Genomic DNA, 23674 nt, shown 5'->3' with positions numbered 1-23674 from the left:
AGTAGCCTGTGTCAACTAAAAACAAAATAGACAAATTTCAATAGGTTTTTGTTGTTGTTGTTGTTGTTTGTTTTGTTTTTTAAGATGGAGTCTCACTCTGTCACCCAGGCTGGAGTGCAATGGCACAATCTCAGTTCACTGCAACCTGAGTTCAAGCAATTCTCCCACCGTGGCCTCCCGAGTAGTTGGGATTACAGGCATCTGCCATCATGCCTGGTTGATTTTTGTATTTTTGTAGAGATGGGAGTTTCACCATGTTGGCCAGGCTGGTCTTGAACTCCTGACCTCAGGTGATCCGCCTGCCTCAGCCTCCGAAAGTGCTGGGATTACAGGCGTGAGCCACCGCACCCCGCCGAGTTTCAGTGGGTTTTGAGGTTCATTTTGCCAACTTTGAGGTTGAGGTTGAAAAAGAAACACAAATTACAATAGGATCTGTGACCTGTGCTGAGGACCTCAATATTTAAAAAGGAAAGAGAGGGGAAACTGGGAAGGAAAAAAATGGGTGGGGGGTGGGGAAGATAGGCAATGAGGCAAAGTGGTCTTGTGAGGCTTTGATTAGCATTCAGTGAATCTACATTTTACATGTGAAAGGAGGGGTAAAGGGTCAATTATGCATTTTTCTGGAACTCAGTAAATCTATGTTTGACATAAAATAAAGTAAGCATGTGAAGTTACAGCTATCTGTTTGGTAACAAAAGAAAGGCAGTTTTTGCATGACTCAGCTCCCAAGCTTATCTTTTCTTTTGGCATAGTGAGTTTGGGGTCTTGAGAGTTTATTTTCCTTTCACACCTGCTAGCTCATTGAGATGACTTCATCTATGCTGGTGATCACAGGGAAAACTAGAACTCAGCGTCATATACTCAACATATACTGGCTCACAAACTCCAGGGCAAGTCAGAGATGTCTTGCATGCTGAATTTATTTCAACAGTCATAAATATGAGTGCCTACACTGGACAAGGCACTGACAATACAAAAGCAAAGAATCTGCCTCAAAGAGTCCACTATCTAATGGGGAAAAGAGACCCCTTCCATTATCCCATCCCTGCTTACTATGGGTAATCAGCAAGATGAAGTCCTATAATATTACCTCTACTCCACCCAAAGGGGTTGAGGCCCATGCAGATAATTTATTCACCATGACTATCACAGAATTTCTATAGTTTACATCCTGTTGAGAAAAGTCCTTGTGGAAAATTCTCAAGTCTACTCTAGCCTGGTGAGATTGCTTGCATAGACTTAAGCTATATGATTGAGCTCAAAAAGCCCTTTCTCTATTCCTAACACAGGGGATTAAAAAATTAATTTTAGAGAGACCTTCTGTTCCTCCTGCTGCAGCAGAACATCAGCAAGTGTCAGGGAATCAACTGTCCAACTCTGTGAGGGCATCCTTAACTCTGGGAGTGAAATGAGATATTGGAACAGAAGGGAAGGGATTTGTGTGGGTTGCTGGGCCAATAAAGTTTATCCAAACACACATACACACACACACACGCACACATATTAGGAGAACAAAAATAGAAGCTCTATGGGAAGAGGCAGTGAGGAAGATGATGGTGTCAGCAGTTTGGTTGGCAAAATAGGCTGAATAGAAGAAAGAAGTCAAGAAGTCAAGCAGGAAATACTGGTCCTGCTCCCTCTGGGCTGTGATCTCTGGCAGAGATAAAAGAGGCCATTCAATCCTTGGCGGTCTGAAAACTTACACTCAGGGTGATTCAATGATAAAGGCACCAGTGTAGGAAGATGTGATAGTTGCCAGTCGTTGGAAAAGCTGTAGATAGGAAGGTCAAGTGGTACTAGACAAAACAGCTGCACTGCTACTGGAAACAAGTTTTTAACGATCTACATTGGATTTCACAAAGCGTAGAGTGGTATTCAGCTGTTTATTTTTATGAAGCACCTACCATGTGTCTGGCTGTATTCTAGGTATGAGGAGACAATGGTGAGCAAATTGCCATGGCTTCTTCCCTTAAGATGCTTAGAGACTGTTGGCAAACACTACTAGGCAGTAGCAAAGTATAATGTGTTCTCCAGTAGAAAAATGTGCTGGCCAGCCAGGCGCGGTGGCTCACGTCTGTAATCCCAGCACTTTGGGAGGCCGAGATGGGCAGATCACGAGGTCAGGAGATTGAGACCATCCTGGCTAACATGGTGAAACCCCGTGTCTACTAAAAATACAAAAAATTAGCCAGGCTTGGTGGCGGGTGCTTGTAGTCCCAGTTACTCGGGAGGCTGAGGCAGGAGAATGGCGTGAACCCGGGAGGCAGAGCTTGCAGTGAGCCGAGATCGCGCCATTGCACTCCAGCCTGGGCAACAGAGTGAGACTCTGTCTCAAAAAAAAAAAAAAAAAGAAAAAGAAAAATGTGCTGGCCGTGGCTCTACTGGTACACATGGCAACATGGCAATATGGACAAGCTTCCAGAGGAGTGGCTGTGCACAGAACCACCCATATAACTCATTACAATCCAGATACCTGGGTTCCTCCCTGGCTCTACACCTTACCCTCCTCTGCCAAGGCAGGTCCTTCATTTTTTGCCCTTACTGTGCTCCACATATGCCCTTAATACTGCTGCCTGGTTAATGGTGCTGAAACACCAGTAAGAGGGGGCCATCAAGGCAGAACACCTTCCTGCTTTGCCTTTCTCCCTCCTCCTCAACCTACCACCTCCTACCACTCTCTAGAAAGTGCCCTTGTGAATTCACCAATGATTTCTGGTTGCCAAATGCAATAAGTAGTTGTCAGTCCTTGATTATGACAGTTACATCCCTTTTGTGTACTTTTCCTTTTTATTTTTCACTCTTTGAGACAGAGTCCATCTCTGTCGCCCAGGCTGGAGTGCAGTGGTGCGATTTCAGCTTACTGCAATCTCTGCCTCTTGGGCTCAGTGATCCTCACACCTCAGCCTCCTGAGTAGCTGGGATTGCAGGCACACACCACTATGCCTGGCTAATTTTTTGTAATTTTGGTAGAGACAGGGTTTCACCATGTTGCCCAGGCTGGTCTTGACCTATTGGGCTCAAACGATCTGCCCACCTCGGCCTCCCAAAGTGCTGTGATTACAGGCATGAGCCACCATGCCCAGCCTCCTTTTGTGTACTTTTCTATCTCCCTCATAGACTGTGAGCTTGTTGAAGATAGGGAATAGGTCTTATCCATCAACAGATACTTACTGAATTAAATGAAAATTTAACCTAAACTAGTATAAAATAGGACTGTGAATCTGCACTCTCCCTCCCCTTTTAGCTTATTTTTAAATACCCTTATGCAGGCTTTAGAGTCATCAGATTTGTGACAAAATAAGGAAGGCATTTTCTTCAACATCCATAAGAGCAGCTTTAAGAATCAACAGACTCAAGAGGCTTTGACTATTAAAGTAGATGGCTTACTGTTAAAAAAAAAAAAAAAAAAAAAAAAAAAAAGAGGCTGGGCTGGGTGGCTCACGCCTGTAATCTCAGCACTGTGAGAGGCCAAGGCAGACGGATCACCTGAGGTTAGGCGTTCAAGACCAGCCTGGCCAACATGGTGAAACCCCTCCTCTACTAAAAATACAAAAATTAGCAGGGCATGGTGGTACATGTCTGTAATCCCAGCTACTCAGGAGGCTGAGGCAGGAGAATCACTTGAACCCGGGAGGTAGAGGTTGCAGTAAGCTGAGATCGTGCCATTGCACTCCAGCCTAGGCAACAGAGCAAGACTCCGTATGAAAAAAAAAAAAAAAAAGAATAAACAGACCATGTGGTTGCAAACAGGTATCTCAATTTAAACTCTGCCAAAATGAAAGTTATTTGGGGGGCAAATTTCACATGAGGAATTCCAGATGGCTGAAGAAGAGATCAATTGATTCCTTACCTCTTGGGGTGCATTTCAGAACTGACTGACTCTGGGTCAAGTCCAGGGGGAAGCAGTTCTGATCAGTGATATGTTCTGTTTATCAATGGTGTATTTGTTCAACAAATGACCATAAGCCCTTATGATGCCATACTACAGAGATGATAAAAAAGAATGACATAAGTTCACATGGATGGATGTAGAAAGGTCTCTACCACGTATTATTGAGAGGTAAAAGCAAGGTGTAGATCAGAATGTTGAAAAAGATCTCAACTATATTCTTGTACATGCATCAATTGTTTTTTTCTGGAAGACTACACAAGGGACTGTTAACAGCCTAAGTGTGAAGGGAAGACGAATTTTCTTTCTATATCTTTCTGAACTATCTTCATGTTTTAGTATTATTTATATAATAAAAATTAACCAGCTTTTAAAGTCACACTGCGGACCTCTTAAAGTCAAGAGAGAAGACCAACTCATAAAGCTTCCCAGGTGAAAATCACCCCTGCAGGCAGCTCTCTGGCAGCTGCATCTTAGGGTGGCTTTGTTGCATTGTTCTTGGGCCTACTAACTCTCATTAAGAAATACAAATGTTCCTTCTTTATGACAAATGTTCCTGAAAGCTAGCTGCTTACAAAATAAAGAGAAGGTCAAGTCAAGAAAAACAAAAACTCTGAATAAATCAAAGATTGGAACATCAAGTGTGGCAAGTGACTTGGAGCTGTACATGAATGAGTGATCCATGACATCATTTGAGACAACACTCTAGCTAGAGTTTATTTTAATTGCTTTAGTTTTATACTTATAGAATAATTTTGGGCCATAAAGGGTTACTTAAACTGTATCATATTTTATCCATTTTAAGAAGAAAATAATATGCCATAATAGTAATTGCAAATGTGGGGATTTAAAAGTTCTCCAGAGGCATTTCTTGTGAACCTCAAGGCCTATACAGGATTGGCGGGGCGCTGTGGCCCATGCCTGTAATCACAGCACTTTGGGAGGCCGAGGTAGGCAAATCACTTGAGCCCAGGAGTTGGAGACTAGCCTGGACAACACAGGGAGACTCTGTCTTTACAAAAAAATTAAAAAATTAGCTGGACATGGTGGCATGCACCTGTAGTTCCCACTACTTGGGAGGCTGAGGCAGGAGGATTGCTTGAGCCCAGGGAGGTCAAGGCTGCAGTGAGCTGTGATTGCACCACTGCACTCAGCCTGGGCAACAGAGTGAGGCACTGTCTTAAAAAAACAAAGAAGTCTATACAGTACTGAAGTGACTTTATTGTTTGTTGAAATTCTGTCTCTTCATATGAGTAAGCACCTTGAGAACTAGTCCATTTACTTCATTTCTGTATCCTTAGCAATTTGCTTGGCACATAACACATATTCAATAACCTTCTGTTTGTGTGTTTAGATGTCTTTTCTAATTCTTCATTCAGTTAACTTTACAAGTATTTATGGAGTACTTACTATATGCCAGGCATTGCGCTAGCACATGTGTGTAGATGTGCACACACACCTCCTTGTGTTTTCCTGACATCCAAACAAGAAGGCCCCACTCACTGCATTTGGTTCTCACACATACCACAGAGCTGAGGCTGGGAGTTGGAGTCCCGTTCCTTCCAGTATATCCTATAATGGAGGAGGCAGCCCATTTGCTCCTGGACTGGAATGCTGTTCCATGAAATTAAAATGCTCCCCTTTTCCTCTGTGATGGCATTAATGTGGGGGCCACTCAGTGGTGCTGTAAAGTAGGGCACAGGAGGCTTCTGTCACCCTCCAAATCCAAATCATTAAACTAAAGCAAAATTTGGCAAAAGATCCCAAGACTCACCTTTGTGCTTAGAGTTACCCAGGATGGAGCTGCATCCTCCTTGATCCCCTGAGAGTGCATACACACGGATTTCATAACAGATGTAGGATTTTATGTTCTCTGCAAGGAAAAGGGAATTCCCATAACAGCCGTGCCATTACTGGTGAGTCACTAAAGGGAGCCATTTTATTATCTGATACAAATGCTTTCAAGGTGTTTCTTGCCTTTTCCTAGTTTAAAGATGGTTCAAGCACAGTCTGGACTGATGACCTATGTTACAAATTCTCAGCATCTGATTTGCCATGACGTTGGCTTCTGGAAGTTACTGCTCCCAACTTCAAAGGATGAGATCAACCAACCAACCAACCTGAGTTTCTTTCCATATAAACAAACAGGATCACCATGATTAAGAAGGAGACAAAAGCTATTTGAGTTCCAACACGGATTTAAATATAACCACACACACACACACACACAGACACACACACGCACCCAGACTGCTTTTGAAACAAACAAAACAACTTGCCTTCAAGAAAAAAAACCTTTTGATTCCTACAAATAAAGCATTTGCTGTTTACAGGAAAGTGAGGCTGGAATTTTGCAGGCATAGAACCTGAATAGCTTTTCTAATTCTGCGATGCTTATCAAGATCTGACAGGGCAGATGACACACTCAGGCATAACTAACCAGGGTGCTCTGGGTGCAATCCGACCCCTTGTTACCCCATCTCCTCTCCCTGTATGTTCCAGTTAGATTTCAGTTGCTTCCCAGCCTGGAAGATTTAAAAGGTACTTGGGAATGTTAATGCTCCTTCCTGGCTTTTAAAGCGCCGCACTTTCAATTTTCTGTCAGTCATGAAGCTTATTGGCAAGTCTTTCTTCCCCACCAAAATTCCTTATTTCCATGAATCTCAGATTTCTACTACTTGTGAATAAAAGGCCCCTTTCATAGATACCTCTCCTGAAATACTTTTACATTTCAAATGAACATTTAAAGGAAAAAGAGATAAGTCCTACTAGGTAACTATAGTATCAGGGAGTCAAAGTAAGAACCCTACCCAGTATTGATTAATGCCCTGCCGATAGGTAGCCAGGGTCCCCTACACTGACAGTTGATTAGGGTTTAACTTTTTTTTTTTTCAGGAAGAATAATTTTATATCATAGAAAAATTTATTAAATTATTTGTGTTTTATATGAAAATCCATTGCTCATTAAATATTCCAGCAAATAGACAGCACATAAAACTCAGTTGTGCAACCAGTGCTGTCAGAAGAGACCATGACAAGATCAAAACACATGCCATGGGTAAATTCCAATTTGAGTTCATGAACTAAGCGAAGTGGAGAAAAGGACACAGTCAGCTTAGTATGGTAATCCAAAGATTCCTCATGGGTGGCATTGACACCAAGAAGCCCAAAGGGCAACATGGAATATGAAATCATATTTAATGTGGGAGGGGCCAGTGAGTAGCTTTCAGCCCCCAGTGCCTGGCTGTTCTGCCCCTAGTCGTGAAAGGGGCCAACCAACCACCGCCTTATGGAGGCATGGGAGTTCCAGATGAGCTCGTTAGGCAGACAGTTCCATTGTATTTTGCCATTCAAAATGTGAGTTCAGGGCAGAGGCCTTGGGAACTGCTGCATTAGAAGTTGTGGTTTATTTTTGTGAATGGCTTACCTTTAGCGGAGGAGAGAAGACAATGTGGTTCTGTAATTCAGTTGACATTTCCCTTTCCACCAAGAGTAGAGCCCTCCTAGCAAGCTTCTTCCCCAGTTCTGGCCTCAAGAACTCCTGTTTTACTGGCTGATTCTTGTATGAACACTCTCTAACAATATCTGCTCCCCATCTCAAAACCTTCAGTGTATGAAGCCCATACTCCTCAGACTTTTATTTCCTTTCTAGAGTCTGGCCGCAATTTCCGACTCATTTCCCACCACTCCCATACATACATACATACCTAGTACCCTTCAGCAAAGTCCCTGCCCCCATGTTTATAAACCATCACTTAGGTGGTTTTTCTGCAGAAAGCTAATTTCACCTGTTAAGTGTGGGAGAAGGCAAACATTAAATGACCAGTAACGAGGAAGAAGAAGGCATAAGAGGGCCCCCAACAACTCTAGGTGCAGGGAAGGTTTTCTAGACACCATGATGTTATGTATTTGTAAAAGGAGTGGCTCTATACGGTCAGAAGCATTTTCACCCAGACAGGACAGGACAGGACTGGTCTCTAGCCTAGCCTCCACCAACCTATAAATCAGGAGCCGGGCTGTATTCTGGCCCACTCCAAAATGTCCAAATCTGCCCCAGCCAGATGCTGGGAAAAGGCTGGTGAAAATCAATAACAATGAGTGATCTTACTGACTAGAGGGGGCCATTTTGAATTAATAATAACCATGAATTGCTTAATTTTTAAGTGTTTATTTTCAGACTGTAACATCAACATAAGCTAATAGCTAACCAAGTGTTTCCAAGCAGGAGAACAACTTTAATTTAATAAAGTTATTTTATTCATTAGTATATTGTTTTTTTTTTTTTTTCAGATGGAGTCTCACTCTGTCACCCAGGCTGGAGTGCAATGGCATGATCTCGGCTCACTGCAATCTCCGCTTCCCGGGTTCAAGCAATTATCTTGCCTTAGCCTCCCAAGTAGCTGGGATTATAGGCGCCCACCACCACGCCCAGCTAATTTTTGTATTTTTAGTAGGGATGGGGTTTCACCACGTTGGCCAGGCTGGTCTTGAACTCCTGACCTCCGCCTCCCAAAGTGTTGGGATTACAGGCGTGAGCCACCGCGCCCAGCCTAGTATATTGATTTTATTCAAATGAATATTACTTCTAAAGTGCATAAAGACACTTATTTCACTAAGTATGGAAAACATCTCTCTTGCCATGTAGTTCAAACTATCCCACAGGGGTAAGTCCTAATACAGCTTATAATAATGTTTACAATTTCTTAGCAGCTTAAAGTTTGGTAAATGCTTTTTCTATTCACTTTCACCTGATTTGATGGGCATAACAGCCCTGAAAGAAAACTGGTTCTACTGCAAAAACTCTAGGGACAGGGAACACACTGCCTTGAGAGGTAATCGATTGTCCCATTAGAGAACATCAAAGGCAGGAAACTTCTTTTTCAAAATTGAGCTGATAGCTACTTCTTTTATAATTTCCACACAGGGTTTTAGTTTTCCTCTCCAGAGCAACAAAAGAAAACATACTCTTTTATGTGTAATGTCAAAACCAGCAACAGCCGTCAAGCCGTCCCATTCCCATGCCCATCTAGAATTCTCTTTCTAGGCTAAATGGTTTCCAGATTAGAAGTTCCAGGCTCCTAATAACTTGGTCATCTTCCTCTGGATGCTGACTAGGTTATGTAGGCAGCATTCTATTTAAGGGTAGTGATGAAAAATTAACCTGCTAGAACTCTGAGCAGTCAGACTACAAAAGAGGTACACAGTTAAGGATGGACTCATGTATGATTATGCAGTGTGCTATTTATTTCATTTGTATAAATCTTGTCACCTTAAGCAGGGTGTGTATTTCCTCCTAGACAGGTGTAATGATTGTTATAGAAACATTATAGGATTTAGAGCTTGAAAACCTTAAAATATTAGCTCTGTCTCACGTAACAATAATAATGATGAGAGCTAAATTACTGAGCCCTTAAAATATATTAGGCATTGTTCAAAACATTTTCCACGAAGTAATTCAGCTAGTCTTCACAATAACCCAACGAGGTAGGTAATATTATTATCCTCATTTTTCAGATGAGGAAACTGAGGCACAAAGCGGTTAAGTAACTTGCCCTAGATCACACAGACAGAGCCAAGACTCGAACCCAGGTAGTATGGCTGCAGAGCCAGAACTTTAAACCACTGATTCAATTCAGTGCTGAATTTATGCTTAACAATGACATTAACTAAGTTCTGCCCAATCATTTTAATATATTTTCAGATGCGTTCTCTCACTTGATTCTCACCACTGACAGATTAGGAAACTGAGGATTAGAAATACCAATTGTCTTATAGATAATTCTGGATTTAGTATTACACAATTAATAAGTAACAGAATTGTGAATGAAGGATTTCCTGGTTTCCTCATTTATATAATGGCCATACCGACTCTTACTGAACATGATTGCTTTAAGAGTTATTAAATAAATGAACTCCCCACAGGGTTAAGGATGGCCTCATGTATTATCATGCAGTGTGCTATGATAAATAAAGGTGTCTATTACACTGGGCAGTTAACTTAGCTCTCAGCCATACTTGTTTGGTTCAATTATTCATTCATCTTCTTTGGCATTGTGCTAGGGATATGGATTTTCCATAAATAAGAGAGCTTTTAGTCAACCAGTTGGTCATTTATGTCTGCAGTGGAGTAGTCTAAAGTGCTGCTGGGTGGACTCTAGGTCATCAGTCTCTCTCATCATGTAGCCACCTGTAATTGAAGGCAGGGTTCTGGCTCTTGCCTGCAGTTTCCCCAAACAAATGTGAACTTAGTAACCCTCTAGAAGGAAGGTGAACAATTAGGTACCTGAAATCAGAGCAGACACATTGTAGGGTCGACTCCGTAGCCAGTTTAGAGGGACCTGTGTGTCACCCCCTGGATGGAGCTCTCTCCATTCCACCACGTACTCCTGAACAGCAGAGGGATCTTTCCTGGGAGGCTGCCAAGTCACCAGAATGTTGTCCATGCCCTCTGAGTTTGCAGAGACCTGGCGAGGAGCCAGCAACCCTTTATCGGACAGAAAGAGGAGAAACAAAATAAAAAAAGAGGAGGGATAAAGATTTAAACAACAAAAAAAGCCAAACAGCTTATCCCAACGAAAAAGTTTTAGGAAGAATCTGTTTACTTTTAAAGACTTTGGAGTCACAGATTTAAGTTCATTTCATTTCTCAGTTCATGGAGAACTAACAACATCAGCTTGTTCAAACATTACGTAAAATGTCATGTGTACAATTATTTTCCCCTTCTTTTCCTTTCTCTTTCTTTACTTTTCCTTCCTTCCCTTCCTTCCTTCCCTCCCTTCCTCCCTCCCTCCCCCTTCCTTCCTTCTTTCCTTCCTTCTTTGCTTCCTTCCTTCCTTCCTTCCTTCCCTCGTTCCTTTCCTTCCTTCCTTCTTTCTTTTTCTTTTTCTTCTCTCTCTCTTTCTTTTTTTTTCCTTGAGACAGGATCTTACTTTGTCACCCAGGCTGGAGTGCAGTGGCATAAGCACAGATCACTGCAGCCTCAACCTCCCAGATTCAAGTGATCCTCCCACCTTAGCCTCCTGAGTAGCTGAGACCACGGGTGCATGTCACCACACATAGCTAATTTTTTTTTTTATTAGACAGAGACAAGGTCTTGCTACGTTGCCCAGGCTGATCTCAAACTCCTGGGCTCAAGTGACCCTCCTGCCTCGGCCTCTCAAAGGGCTTGGATTACAGGCATGAGCCAACATGCCCAGCCCCATTCCTTTTTCCATTTCTATAGCCTCAAAGGTGCCTAATCTTTGTGAATATATTAGACATCTTTCTAATCCACCTTTCATATATTTGTTTAGACAAATTCCTATCCTTGAAATTTAGTGTTATTTTGTGCGTATGTGTTGAATTTTCATGAAATGTATTGGGAGATAAATCTAATGCTTTTTCTTTTTTTCACTCAACATGTTTCTGGGACATATACATCCAGCTGCTATTATGTAAATCCGACTCATTTTTTCAGATTGCTACCTAAACCCTTTACTTGTCCAATGTTTGAGTGACAAGCAGGAAGTTCTTTTGGAGTGTTTGCAAACACAAACAAGGATGCAATGAATATTCTCTTGCATGTTCTCTTGTGTGCCTGTGCAAGAATGTTTCTGTGTTTCTGGATATATATGCATAGAATTGCTTGATTATAGAGCAAATTCACATATTATTTTACAAAATACTGCCAGATTTATCTCTAAAATAGCCACTTGACACTCCAGCAAGAAAAGCATGAAGGCTCTCATTTCTCCACCAATATTTAGTATTTTCTGATTTTCTAATTTTTATCAATCTGGTATATATAAAGTGGTATTTAATTGTGGTTTTATTTTCATTTTTCTGATTTCTCTTCTTTTTTTTTTTTTTTTTTTTTTGAGATGGAGTCTTGCTCTATCTTGCCCAGGCTGGAGTGCAGTGGCACCATCTCGGCTCACTGCGGCCTCTGCCTCCCAGGTTCAAGCAGTTCTCCTGTCTCAGCCTCCCGAGTAGCTGGGACTACAGGCGTCTGCCACCACACCCAACTAATTTTGTATTTTTGGTAGAGACGAGGTTTCACCATGTTGGCCAGGCTGGTCTCGAACTCCTGACCTCAGGTGATCCACCCGCCTCGGGCTCCCAAAGTGCTGGGATTACAGGTGTGGGCCATTGCACCCGGCCATTTTTCTGATTTCTTATGAAGCTAAGCTTCTTTTCATATATTACTAGTTATTTGACTTTCCCCTTCCATGAACTGCCAATTCATGTACTTCACTCATTTCCATTGGGTTTCCTGCATTCTTTCTGATTTGCAGACAACTTTTTATATTGTAGATTTTAGTCTTAACATAACAGTTTTCAACAGTATCTTACCTAGCCTGTCAACTCTCTGATAACTTAATGACACATATATAGCTACTTTGATGTTGGTAAATTTATCCATGGCTTGTGTACTTTACATCTTATTTATGACCCTTCTATCCTATGGCCCCTTAAGATGACCCTTCTATCCTAGGGTCATGAAGATACTCAACTACATTTTCTCCTATTGGTTTTTAGTTTTACCTTTCACATTTAATGGGTTTTTAAATTCAAATCCAACAAAAGGTTTTTTTTTCAGGGGGAGAATACATTTTACTATTTTTCCACATGGTGAGTCAATTTTTCCCAATGTCATCACATTTGGCATCTCATCCCTGTAATATACCAAGTTTCATATCATCATGGGTCTGTGTCTGGCTTGGCCACTTTACCAGAAAACACTGTTCATGTTACCAGGCTTTGTAATGTCTGACTATTGGTCCATTTCATCTAGATTATCAAATTCGTGGGCACAGAGTTGTTCATAGTATTTGATTATTATCCTTTTCATGTCCATGGGATCAGTGATGATAGCCCCTTTTTATTTATGATATTGGTAATTTTCATCCTCTTTCTCTCTTTTTTTTAGTTAACCTGGCTAGAAATTTTATAAATTTTATTGATCTTTTTAAAGAATCAGCTTTTGGTTTCATTAATTTATCTCTTTATTCCAGTTTTGAATTTCATTGATTTCCTCTCTTATTATTACTATTTGCTTACTTTGGGGTTATTTGATCCATTTTTCCTTTAGTTTCCTAAGGCAAAAGTTTAGATTATTGATTTTAGACCTCTCTTCTTTTCTAATGTATTCATTCAATGTTATAAATTTTCCTCTAAGCACTGATTTTGCTGCATTCCATAAATTTTGATGTTTTATTTTTATTTTCAATTAGTTCAAAATATTTTAAAATTTCTCTTGAGACTTTGACCAATGTGTTATTTAGAAGTGTGTTGTTTAATCTCTATTTTGGGATTTTCCAGCTATCTTTCTGTTACTGATTTCTAGTTTATTTCCCCTGTGGTCTGGGAGCGGACATTGCATGATATCTATTCTTTTAAATTTGTTAAGGTGTATTTTATGACCCAGAATATGGTGTATCTTGGTGAATGTTCCATATGAGCATGAGAAGAATGTGTATTATGCTGTTGTTAGATGATGTTGGCTACAGATGTCAATTATGTTTAGTTGATTGAGGATGCTGTTGAGTTCAACTATGTCTTTAATGATTTTCTGTCTGCAGTCTTTGTCCTGTCTGCAGGATCTGTCCATTTCTGACACAGTGGTCTTGAAGTCTGACTATGATAGTGGATTCATCTATTTCTCTTTGCAGTTCTATTGGTTTTTGGCTCATGCATTTTGATTGTTGTTAAGTCCATACACATTAAAGATTGTTATGTTTTCTTTGAGAATAGATTCCTTTATCATTAAGTAATGCTCCCAGTTACCACTGATAACTTTCTCTGCTTTGAAGTCTGTTCTGTCTGAAATTAATACAGCTACTCCAGCTTCTTTTTCATTAATGTTAACATGGCATATCTTTCTCTATCTCTTTACATTTGCTCTATATGTGTCAATTTTAAAATTTATTTATTTATTTTGAGATAGAGTCTCCCTCTGTCTCACAGGCTGGAGTGCAGTGGTGCAATCTTGGCTTACTGCAGCCTCCACCCCCTGGGTTCAAGTGATTCTCCTGCCTCATCCTCCCAAGTAGCTGAGATGACAGGCATGCACCACCACACCTGGCTAATTTTTGTATTTTTAGGAGAGACAGAGTTTCACTACGTTAGCCAGGCTAGTCTTGAACTCCTGACCTCAAGTGATCCGCCTGCCTCAGCCTTCCAAAGTGCTGGGATTACAGGCGTGAGCCACTGTGCTGGCCTATATGTCTATATATTTAAATTTGATTTCTTATAGACAACTATAGTTGGGTCTTGTTTTTTATCCACTTTGACTATTTGTTTTGTAATTGCTGTTTTTAGTCCAGTGATGTTCAAAATAACTTGATGGAGTTGGAGTAATATGTACTACATGTGTTACTATTTTCTATTTGTTGCCTTTGTCATCTATCCCTCATTTTGTTTGTCATTCTTTTTCTGCCATTTGTGGTTTTAATTGATCAGTTTATATGATTTCATTTTCTGCCCTTTTTAGCATATCAGTTATATTTCTTTTAAAATGGTTTTTAGTGCTTGCTCTTGCTCTACTATTTGCAATATACATTTACAACTAATTCAAGTCCCCTTTCAAATAACAATATACTGCTTCATGGGTAGCAGAAATACCTTAAATAGCAAAATAATCCAAAGTCCTCCTTCTTATCCCTTGCTAGGATTCATTGCTATCTTTCATTTCACTTATATATAAGCATGCATAAGCATTTATAATACACAAACATATGTAATCAAATACATTGTTACTATTATTGTTTTGAATAAACTGCTATCTATTAGGTCAATTAAGAATAAGAATAATTGGCCGGGCACAGTGGCTCATGCCTGTAATCCCAGCACTTTGGGAGGCTGAGGTGGGCGAATCACCTGAGGTTGGGAGTTCGAGACCAGCCTGACCAACATGGAGAAACCCCGTCTCTACTAAAAATACAAAATTAGCTGGGCATGGTGGCACATGCCTGTAATCCCAGCTACTAGGGAGGCTGAGGCAGGAGAATCGCTTGAACCTGGGAGGCGGAGGTTGTGGTGAGCCAAGATCACGCCATTGCACTTCAGCCTGGGCAACAAGAGCAAAGCTCTGTCTCAAAAAAAAAAAAAAAAAAAAAATAAGAATAATTGGCCAGGCACAGTGGCTCATGCCTGTAATCCCAGCACTTTGGGAGTCCGAGGCAGGCAGATCACGAGATCAGGAGATCAAAACCATCCTGGCCAACATAGTGAAACCCCGTCTCTACTAAAAATACAAAAATTAACCGGGTGTGGTGGCGTGTGCCTGTAATCCCAGCTACTTGGGAGGCTGAGGCAGGAGAATCGCTTGAACCAGGGAGTTGGAAGTTGCAGTGAGCCGAGATCATGCCACTGCACTCCAGCATGGTGACAGAGCAAGACTCCGTCACAAAAAAAAAAAACGAGTAATTAAAGTTTGTATTTTGCCTTCACTTATTTTTTCCTTGATGTTCTTCCTTTTTCTATATAGTTCCAAGTTTCTGACCTATCTCATTTTCCTTCTCTCTGAAAAACTTCATTTCACATTTTTTGCTAGGCAGGTCTGCTGGCAACAAATTTCTTCAATCTTTATGTGGGAAGTCCTTATTTCTCCTTCACTTTTAAAGTATAATTTCACAGCGTATAGACTGCTAGGTTGATGGGCTTTTTTTCTCTCAATACTTTAAATATTTTACTCTACTCTTTCCTTGCTTGCATGGTTTCTTTTTTTTTCTTTTTCTTTTTTTTTTTTTTTTTTTTGAGACGGAGTCTCGCTCTGTCGCCCAGGCCGGACTGCGGACTGCAGTGGCGCAATCTCGGCTCACTGCAAGCTCCGCTTCCCGGGTTCACGCCATTCTCCTGCCTCAGCCTCCCGAGTAGCTGGGACTACAGGCGCCCGCCACCGCGCCCGGCTAATTTTTTGTATTTTTAGTAGAGACGGGGTTTCACCTTGTTAGCCAGGATGGTCTCGATCTCCTGACCTCATGATCCACCCGCCTCGGCCTCCCAAAGTGCTGGGATTACAGGCGTGAGCCACCGCGCCCGGCCTCTTTTTCTTTTTTGAGACAGAGTCTAACTTTGTTACCCAGGCTGGAGTACAGTGGCGTGATTTTGGCTCACTGCAACCTCTGCCTCCCAGGTTTGAGCAGTTCTCCTGCAGCAGCCTCCCGAGTAGCTGGGATTATAGGCACATGCCACCATGGCCAGCTAATTTTTGTATTTTTAGTAGAGACAAGGTTTCACCATGTTGGCCAGGCTGGTCTTGAACTCCTGACCTCAGGTGATCCACCCACCTCGGCCTCCCAAAGTGCTGGGATTACACGCGTGAGCCACCGCGCCAGGCCTGCATGGTTTCTTTGAAGAAGTTAGATGTAATTCTTATATTTGGTCTTATAAAGTTTTCTTTTTCCTGTGGCTTCTTTCAAGAGTTTTTTCTTTATCTTTGATTTTCTGCCATTTGAATGATGTATGTAGGTACAGTTTTTTTTGTGGGTGGAGGGTGCCATTTACCCTGTTTGGTGTTCTTTAAGGTTCCTGGGTCTGTGGTTTGGTGTCTGACATTAATTTGATAAATTCTCATTCATTATTGTTTCAAATATTTCTTTTATTCCTTTCTTTTTTTTACCTTCTCATATTTCCATTATGTGTAGGTTACATCTTTTGTAGTTGTTCCACAGATTTTGTATATGTTGTTATGTTTTTTCAGTCTTTGTTCTCTTTGCTTTTCAGTTTTAGCGGTTTCTATTGACATATCTTCAAGCTCAAAAACTCCTCCCCCAGATATGTCTATTTTACGAATCACCCATCAAAGACATTCTTCATTTGTTACACTGTTTTTGATCTCTAGCATTTCTTTTTTGACCCTTTCTTAGAATTCTAATTTCTCTGATTACCCTGTCCATCGGTTTTTGCAGGTTTTCTACTTTATCTGTTAGAGCCTTTAGCATATTAAACATAGTTGTTTTAAATTCCTGGTCTGATAATTCCAACATCCCTGCCATATCCAAGTATGGTTCTGATGCTTGCTGTATCTCAACTAACTGTTGTTTTGTTGTTGTTTGTTTGTTTTTTGCCTTTTAGAATGCCTTATAATTTTTTGTTGAAAGGTGGATATGATTTACTAAGTAAAAGCATATGCAGTAAATGGGCTTTTAGTAATGTGGTAGAAAGGTGTCGGGGGAAAGAAAGCATTCTATAACCCTATGATTACATCCCAGTCTTTTTGTGAGGCTGTGCTCCTGTACTGGGAACTTGCCAGTGCTTATCAGTTTTCCCCTCTTAAGTGGGATAGGATGGCTACAGTGGGCTCGAGTTGGGTATTTTCCTTCTCCCACCTAGAAGAATAGAGGGGATTGGAGTTGGGTATTTCCTTTCCCTCCACATAGAAGGCCAGACTAGGATGGAATTAGATATGTTCCTCCCACCAGGCTGGTTAGGTTCTGATAAAACTCCAATAGTTCAGCCCTATTAAAACAGTTTCCTTGGAGGGCAGGCCTTGTTAAGAACAGAATGCTCTGGTGTATTTTTTTTTTTTTTTGAGACGGAGTTTTCCTCTGTCACCCAGGCTGGAGTGCAGTAGAGTGATCTTGGTTCACTGCAACCTCTGCCTCCTGGATTCAAGTGATTCTCCTGCCTTAGCCTCCCAAGTAGCTGGGATTACAGGCACGTGCCACTACGCCTAGCTAATTTTTGTATTTTTAGTAGAGACAGGGTTTTGCCATGTTGGCCAGGCTGGTCTCAAACTCCTGACCTCAAGTGATCTGCCTGCCTTGGCCTCCCAAAGTGCTGGAATTACAAGGCGTGAACCACTGCACCTGGCCAACTCTGATGTATTTTATAACGGTTCCTTTTTCCCTCCCACTGAGAGAAACATGGGGGATTTTTCTGATATTCACTGTGATAACCTGGTCAATCTCCTTTTTTTTTTTTTCTTTCTGAGACAGTCTTGCTCTGTCACCCGGGCTGGAGTGCAGTGGCGCCATCTTGGCTCACTGCAACCTCTGCCTCCTGGGTTCAAGTGATTATCCTGCCTCAGCTTCCCAAGCAGCTGGGATCACAGGCACGCACTACCACGCTGGCTAATTTGCATTTTTAGTAGAGATGGGGTTTCACCATGTTGGCCAGGCTGGCTTCAAACTCCTGACCTCTAGTGATCCACCTGCCTCAGCCTCCCAAAGTGTTGGGATTACAGGTGTGAGCCACCGCGCCCAGCCCCTGGTCAAGCTCCATAAGATAAAACTCACAAAACTGTGAGGACCTCCTATGACTGATCCCCAGTGGAGATTTTAACTCTCAGATTTGTCCGTTCTGAGCCTCCAGCAATTTGTGAGTTACAGTTAGGTTTTCTTACCTCAGCACTGGTTCCCATGAAGTTTTCTGCTTGGGGATTTTTGCTATGGTAATTTGTGATTCTCTGTATTTACCTGTCTATCTCTTCAATTTTCGGGGCAGTGGCTTGCCATATAACCTCACTTCTCATAGGTCAAAGAAGAAGTGTTGATTTTCCAGTTTGTTGAGTTTTTACTTGTTATTATGACAGAATGATGACTTCCAAAGTGCCTTAGATGCTAGACTGGAAACTGAAAGTATCACCACTGTGTGTTTTTTTGTTTTTTTTTTGAGATGCTCTGTTGCCCAGGCTGGAGTGCAATGGCATGATCTTGGCTCACTGCAACTGCCACCTCCCAGGTTCAAGTGATTCTCCTGTCCCAGCCTCTGGAGTAGCTGAGATTAAGGGCATATGCCACGACTCCCAGCTAATTTTTGTATATTTAGTAGAGACAGGGTTTCACCATGTCGGCCAGGCTGGTCTTGAACTCCTAACCACAAGTGATCCACCCGACTCAGCCCCGCAAAGTGCTGGGATTACAGGTGTAAGCCACTGTGCCCAGCCTCCACTAATTTTTAATACATGTGTTGAATTTACATCTCTCATTCATCAGGTTATGTGTCAAGGTTCATAAGTGATTTAGGCAATAACTTTTCTTGTGCTATCTTTATCTGATTTTAATACCAAAGTTAAATTCGTCTTAGAAAATAGATTGGACAGCTTTCTTTATTTTATATTTTCCATAGCAACTTGAACTAACATTGAATTCAGAGTTCAGTTGTAAAACAATGTGGGGCTGGGGCTTTTTTGGAGTGCATGTTGTATATAAATAAGTTTTTTATTTTTATTTTATTTTATTTTTTCAGACAGAGTCCTGCTCTGTCACCTAGGCTGGAGTTCAGTGGCACAATCTTGGCTCACTGCAATCTCTGCCTCCTGGGCTCAAGCCATTTTCGTGCCTCAGCCTCTTGAGTAGCTGGAACTACAGGCGTGCACCACTATGCCTGGCTAATTTTTGTATTTTTGTAGAGACGGGGTTTCACAATGTTGGCCAGGCTGGTCTCGAACTCCTGGCTTCAAGTGATCTGCCTGCCTTGGCCTCCCAAAGTGCTGAGATTATAGGCATGAGCCACTGCACCTGGGCTAAGTTTTTTATTCTTAACACTTATTTATTTAAAATTTAAAAATATTTTTGTGCCAATTTTTTAGCTTTTACAGTATTTAACCATAAGTTTATTTCAGCTAGGTTTGAAAGTTTACTTTTACTAGGGGAAATATTCTTTCCCTCTTGTTTTGCTTGGTGTTTTATTTGCATCTTCTCTCTCTCTCTCTTTTATCCTTACATCTTGTTCCTCTGAATTTACTCTATTACCTAAGTTCTCTCTCATTTTAATTTTTTTAATTTTAATTTTAATTAATTTTTTTTTGAGATGGAGTTTCACTCTTGTTGCCCAGGCTGGAGTGCAGTGGCACAATCTTGGCTCACTGCAACATGTGTCTCCTGGCTTCAAGCGATTCTCCTGCCTCAGCCTCCAAAGTAGCTGGGATTACAGGCCCACAACACCATCCCCAGCTAATTTTTGTATTTTTAGTAGAGACAGGGTTTCACCAGGTTGGCCAAGCTGGTCTCAAACTCCTGACCTCAGGTGATCTGCCTGCCTTGACCTCCCAAAGTGCTGGGATTACAGGCGTGAGCCACCATGCCCAGCCAGTTCTCTCTCATTTTTAAATGATAGTTTAGCTGGAGAAACATTTCCAGATTTAAAGTTCTTTCCTTTCTTCCATTTGAAGATATTATGTTATTGTATTTTTATATGTTTTGTTATTGACATATCTAGTGTCCTTTTGATTCTTTTTCTTTAGTAGGTGATTTGCTTTTTTCTCCCTAAATATTGTTATACTTTTTTCTTTGGCTTTAAGGTCCTTACACTTTACAATAAAATGAAAAAAAAAATTATGTTGAGTTTAGCACTCTGAGGCCTTTCCACTTGAAATCTTATGTTTTTCTTTCATTCTGTAACATTCTTGATCACTAGTCTTCAAATATTTGCTCCCCTCCATTTTTTTCCTCTACTCTAACTCCTTTTAGATGGTTGATATAACTTCTATTTCTGCTCTTTCAGTGTTTTAATTTTTCTAATCTTTCAATTTCTTACCCATTTTTTTACACCTTATGGAAGAATTTCACCCCTAGTCTTCCTCTCACTAATTTAATCTTCAGATCAGTCCTCTCTGCTATTCATCCCATCGGCTGAGTTAGCTGTTTCAATAACTAAACTTTCCTTGCATTCTCTTAAATATATTGGAGTTTGTATGCTGGAAAAGATAGATGTAATTGACCACTCTCAGACAAAAGTAGAATAGTATTCTAGCAAAATGTTCAAACCACATGAAGCCCTAATATGAAAAGATGTTTGAAGAATGCAATGCAACTGAAGTTTAAGAGATGGAAACAACTAAATGTGTTTGTTTTCTAAATAGACAAAGTATATTAGAAACTTCAAAGGTTAAAAAAAACACTTTTGCTAGCTTCTATTATTTGTTGCTATACAATACTGAAATCATTTTCTTTAATGGCCCTTTGAGGTTATTCTAATAAAACATGCTTTTCTTTTCTTTTCTTTTTGAGACAGAATCTCACTCTGTCACCCAAGCTGGAGTGAAGTGGCATGATCTTGGCTCACTGCAACCTCCACTTCCCAGTTTCAAGTAATTCCTGTGCCTCAGCCTCCTGAGTAGCTGGGATTACAGGTGTGCGCCATCACACCCAGCTAATTTTTCTTTTTTATTTTTATTTATTTATTTTTTTAGTAGAGACAGGGTTTTGCCATGTTGGCCAGGCTGGTCTTAAATTCCTGGCTTCAAGTGATCCACCTGTCTCAGCCTCCCAAAGTGCCAGAATAACAGGCATGAGCTACCATGCTTGGCCTAAAACATGCTATATTTAAGAGTGAATAAGCAATCTGTTTAACATCACATAAAAATCCCCTAAACATTCCATGCTGACTCTGTTTGGGTTTTCTTCATAACTACCTGTTTCTGATTCATGTTTTGGTATTCTCTCTTATCTTTCTAAGGATGCTTTTTACATTTATTCTAATCTTTTGTACTATCTGTTGCATTAGTTCTGTTTCCTATGATACTGATTTGTTGCCTGTCATTCCCAGGGCTTGTGGTCTTCACATTTGTCTTGATGTTTTCTTTTGGGATCATGTTTTATTTTCTTTGATTGGTCAACAACCTTGGCTTTTCTTTTTTTATAGGGAGAGGAGTCAAAGTACAGCTATAGCTCATGGTCCTCCATGTATGTTTAGGGTAGAGAGGAGGGCTTTTCAGCTTGGAAAGCTCCAGGCCAGAGACCCTGCAGTGATACAAGCTGAGCTCTTTGTCCCCAGGCACCCCTTAGGCATACTTGTACCTCCAGAATCAAACTAGTACCTCTGTGGTAGGCACTGCTTTTCGTGAGGGAATTGAGCTATTATTCTTGTTTGAAACTGCCAGGCCCATGGGATGGGTGGCAGGAAAAAAATGCTGAAGGGTCAGCCAGCTCACAGGCACTCTTTGCTCCCAGCTCTCCTCCCCAGTGAGGTTCCAGGGCTGCCTTGACAGTGACTCTGCACTGCTCCCCAGAATTTCCTACCCCATCATAGAGATTCCTGGGCAGCGATCACAACAGGATAACAAGAGGAAAAAACAAAGAGAACAAGTAGAAAGCTCCCTTGGTCCTCCCCGCTTCATCACTATTCCCCAGAGGGGGAACTCAGCCATCCATATCTTATCTCTCTGCAGCAGCTTCAGGGCCAGGTTTAGTGGTAGAGCCTGTAGACAGTGTACTGGACATCTTGTCAGGAACTGGAATTCCCAGCAATGGTTCCTTGTCTTCACTTGCCTTGGTATTTGATGTCCCAGTTATACTGTGGGCTTTTTATTTTGTTTTGTTTTTTGAGAATAAAATTTACTCATTCAGCAAGTATTTATTGAACACTATGGTTTGCGAGATCCTTTGCCAAGTATTGAGGTAAAAAAGCCAAAGAGCCTTTCTAACCACTACTTTCTCTGGAATTAGCTAAGTAAATCAACTTGGCATTGCCTAGGGTTCTTCTGTCTCTGAGTCACCACACTTGCCAGGAACCAACCTAGAATTTCCTCTCTCATGATGTTTGCTGGGGCATGTTCTTTCCTTCAAAAGTCTGCTAACAACTCACCTTCTCCCTGTCACCTTTCAAAATTATTCCTTTAGCCTCAATCATTCAACTTCCCATCTCCATTTTCACTGAGAGCTTCTGTATGAAGTTATAACGTTCAGAAGGCATTTGGAAAAAGTGCTCACCCAAGGGTGGTCTGGTTTTCCATGTAGCTCTGCCACTATTGGATGTATGATCTTGGCTCAGTTACTTCACCTCCTTGGGCCCCAGTCTCTGCCATCTCTGTGAGCCTGTGTTTATGACCATACTGGCTTCTGACTCTTCCTGTAGTTTCAAGAGGTCTTGAGTAGAAGGGCTGGATCTTTGAAATATTTAATACATTTTACTAGTTGACTGGTAGGTTTAGCACACATTCCTTTTTTTTTTTTTTTTTTTTCTTTTTGAGACAGGGTCTCTCACTCTGTTGCCCAGGCTGGAGTACAAGTGGCATGATCTTGGCTCACTGCAATCTTCACCTCCCGGGTTCAAGCGATTCTCCTGCCTCAGCCTCCCGAGTAGCTGGGACTACAGGCGCACACTACCACACCTGGCTAATTTTGTATTTTTTGGTAGAGACAGGGTTTCACTGTATTGGCCAGGCTGGTTTTGAACTCCTGGCCTCAAGTGATCTACCTGCCTCGGCCTCCCAAAGTCCTGGGATTACAGGCGTGAGCCACGGCGCCTGGCCCTGGCCTTCTTTTTTTTAGATAATGTCTTGTTCTGTTGCCCAGGGTGAAGTACAGTGGCACGATCATGGCTCACGGCAGCCTCCAACTCCTGGGCTCAAGCAATCCCCCTGCCTCAGCCTCCCAAGTAGCTCAGAAAACAGTCATGTGCCACCATGCCTGGCTAGCATGTAACTTTTATCATAAGCTAACAAAATCATTCTTGTGCCTCTTGATATACAATGCTATGGCAGGTGCTTTTTACAATAAATTTGTCTCTGGTCTCTCAAAATCAGCATAAATCAGCCTAAATAATGTTGGGGCATTATTGTATCCTTTTCTTGAAGAAAAGATACATATGTAAATAGTATGACTGTATACTGAAAAAGGAGAAGGCACAAAGTCATGTTCTACCCCTACAGATCATTCAAGGTATGTGTGAGACAAAGTCCTCAAAGACAGGACCATGCAGTTCGCCAATTTGTTCTCCAGGTCCTTCTGGGACACACAACTACTTGTGTTGAATGGCTCAGGTGTGATCTTAGGAGAGGCAAGAGGCCCTTGAGATTCCAGCACTTCTAAGACCCTCTTAACGACAGCTCGGCTCTGAAGAATTGCCTCATGTCCTTCT

The 23674-nt window shown here is 41.3% G+C and overlaps 1 protein-coding gene across 20 annotated transcripts in view; it reads right to left on the bottom strand.

Moving 5' to 3' along the window:
- Window positions 1-23674, bottom strand: part of IL12RB2 (interleukin 12 receptor subunit beta 2) — a 91361-nt gene that overhangs the window by 20527 nt on the left and 47160 nt on the right. For 11 of the 20 annotated variants that reach the window (NR_047584.1, XM_005270827.3, XM_017001203.2 and 8 more), the window contains 3 exons: window positions 10173-10373; window positions 5664-5762; window positions 5415-5573 (listed from right to left, as the gene is read on the bottom strand). Coding sequence is in view for 18 of the 20 variants with exons in the window: in XM_005270827.3 (XP_005270884.1) it covers window positions 5415-5573; window positions 5664-5762; window positions 10173-10373 (459 nt within the window). In the remaining 2 variants the exon portion in view is untranslated. Of the gene's footprint in view, window positions 1-5414; window positions 5574-5663; window positions 5763-10172; window positions 10374-22524; window positions 22711-23674 lie in introns of those variants that run through there. The other 9 variants (NR_047583.1, XM_011541384.3, XM_047419665.1 and 6 more) reach the window with 3 other exon arrangements.

The sequence above is a fragment of the Homo sapiens genome, chromosome 1, assembly GCF_000001405.40.
Source record: "Homo sapiens chromosome 1, GRCh38.p14 Primary Assembly".
NCBI lineage: Eukaryota > Metazoa > Chordata > Mammalia > Primates > Hominidae > Homo > Homo sapiens.
Note: the sequence above shows the minus strand (reverse complement) of the source record. Positions and strands in the feature narration are given on the sequence as shown.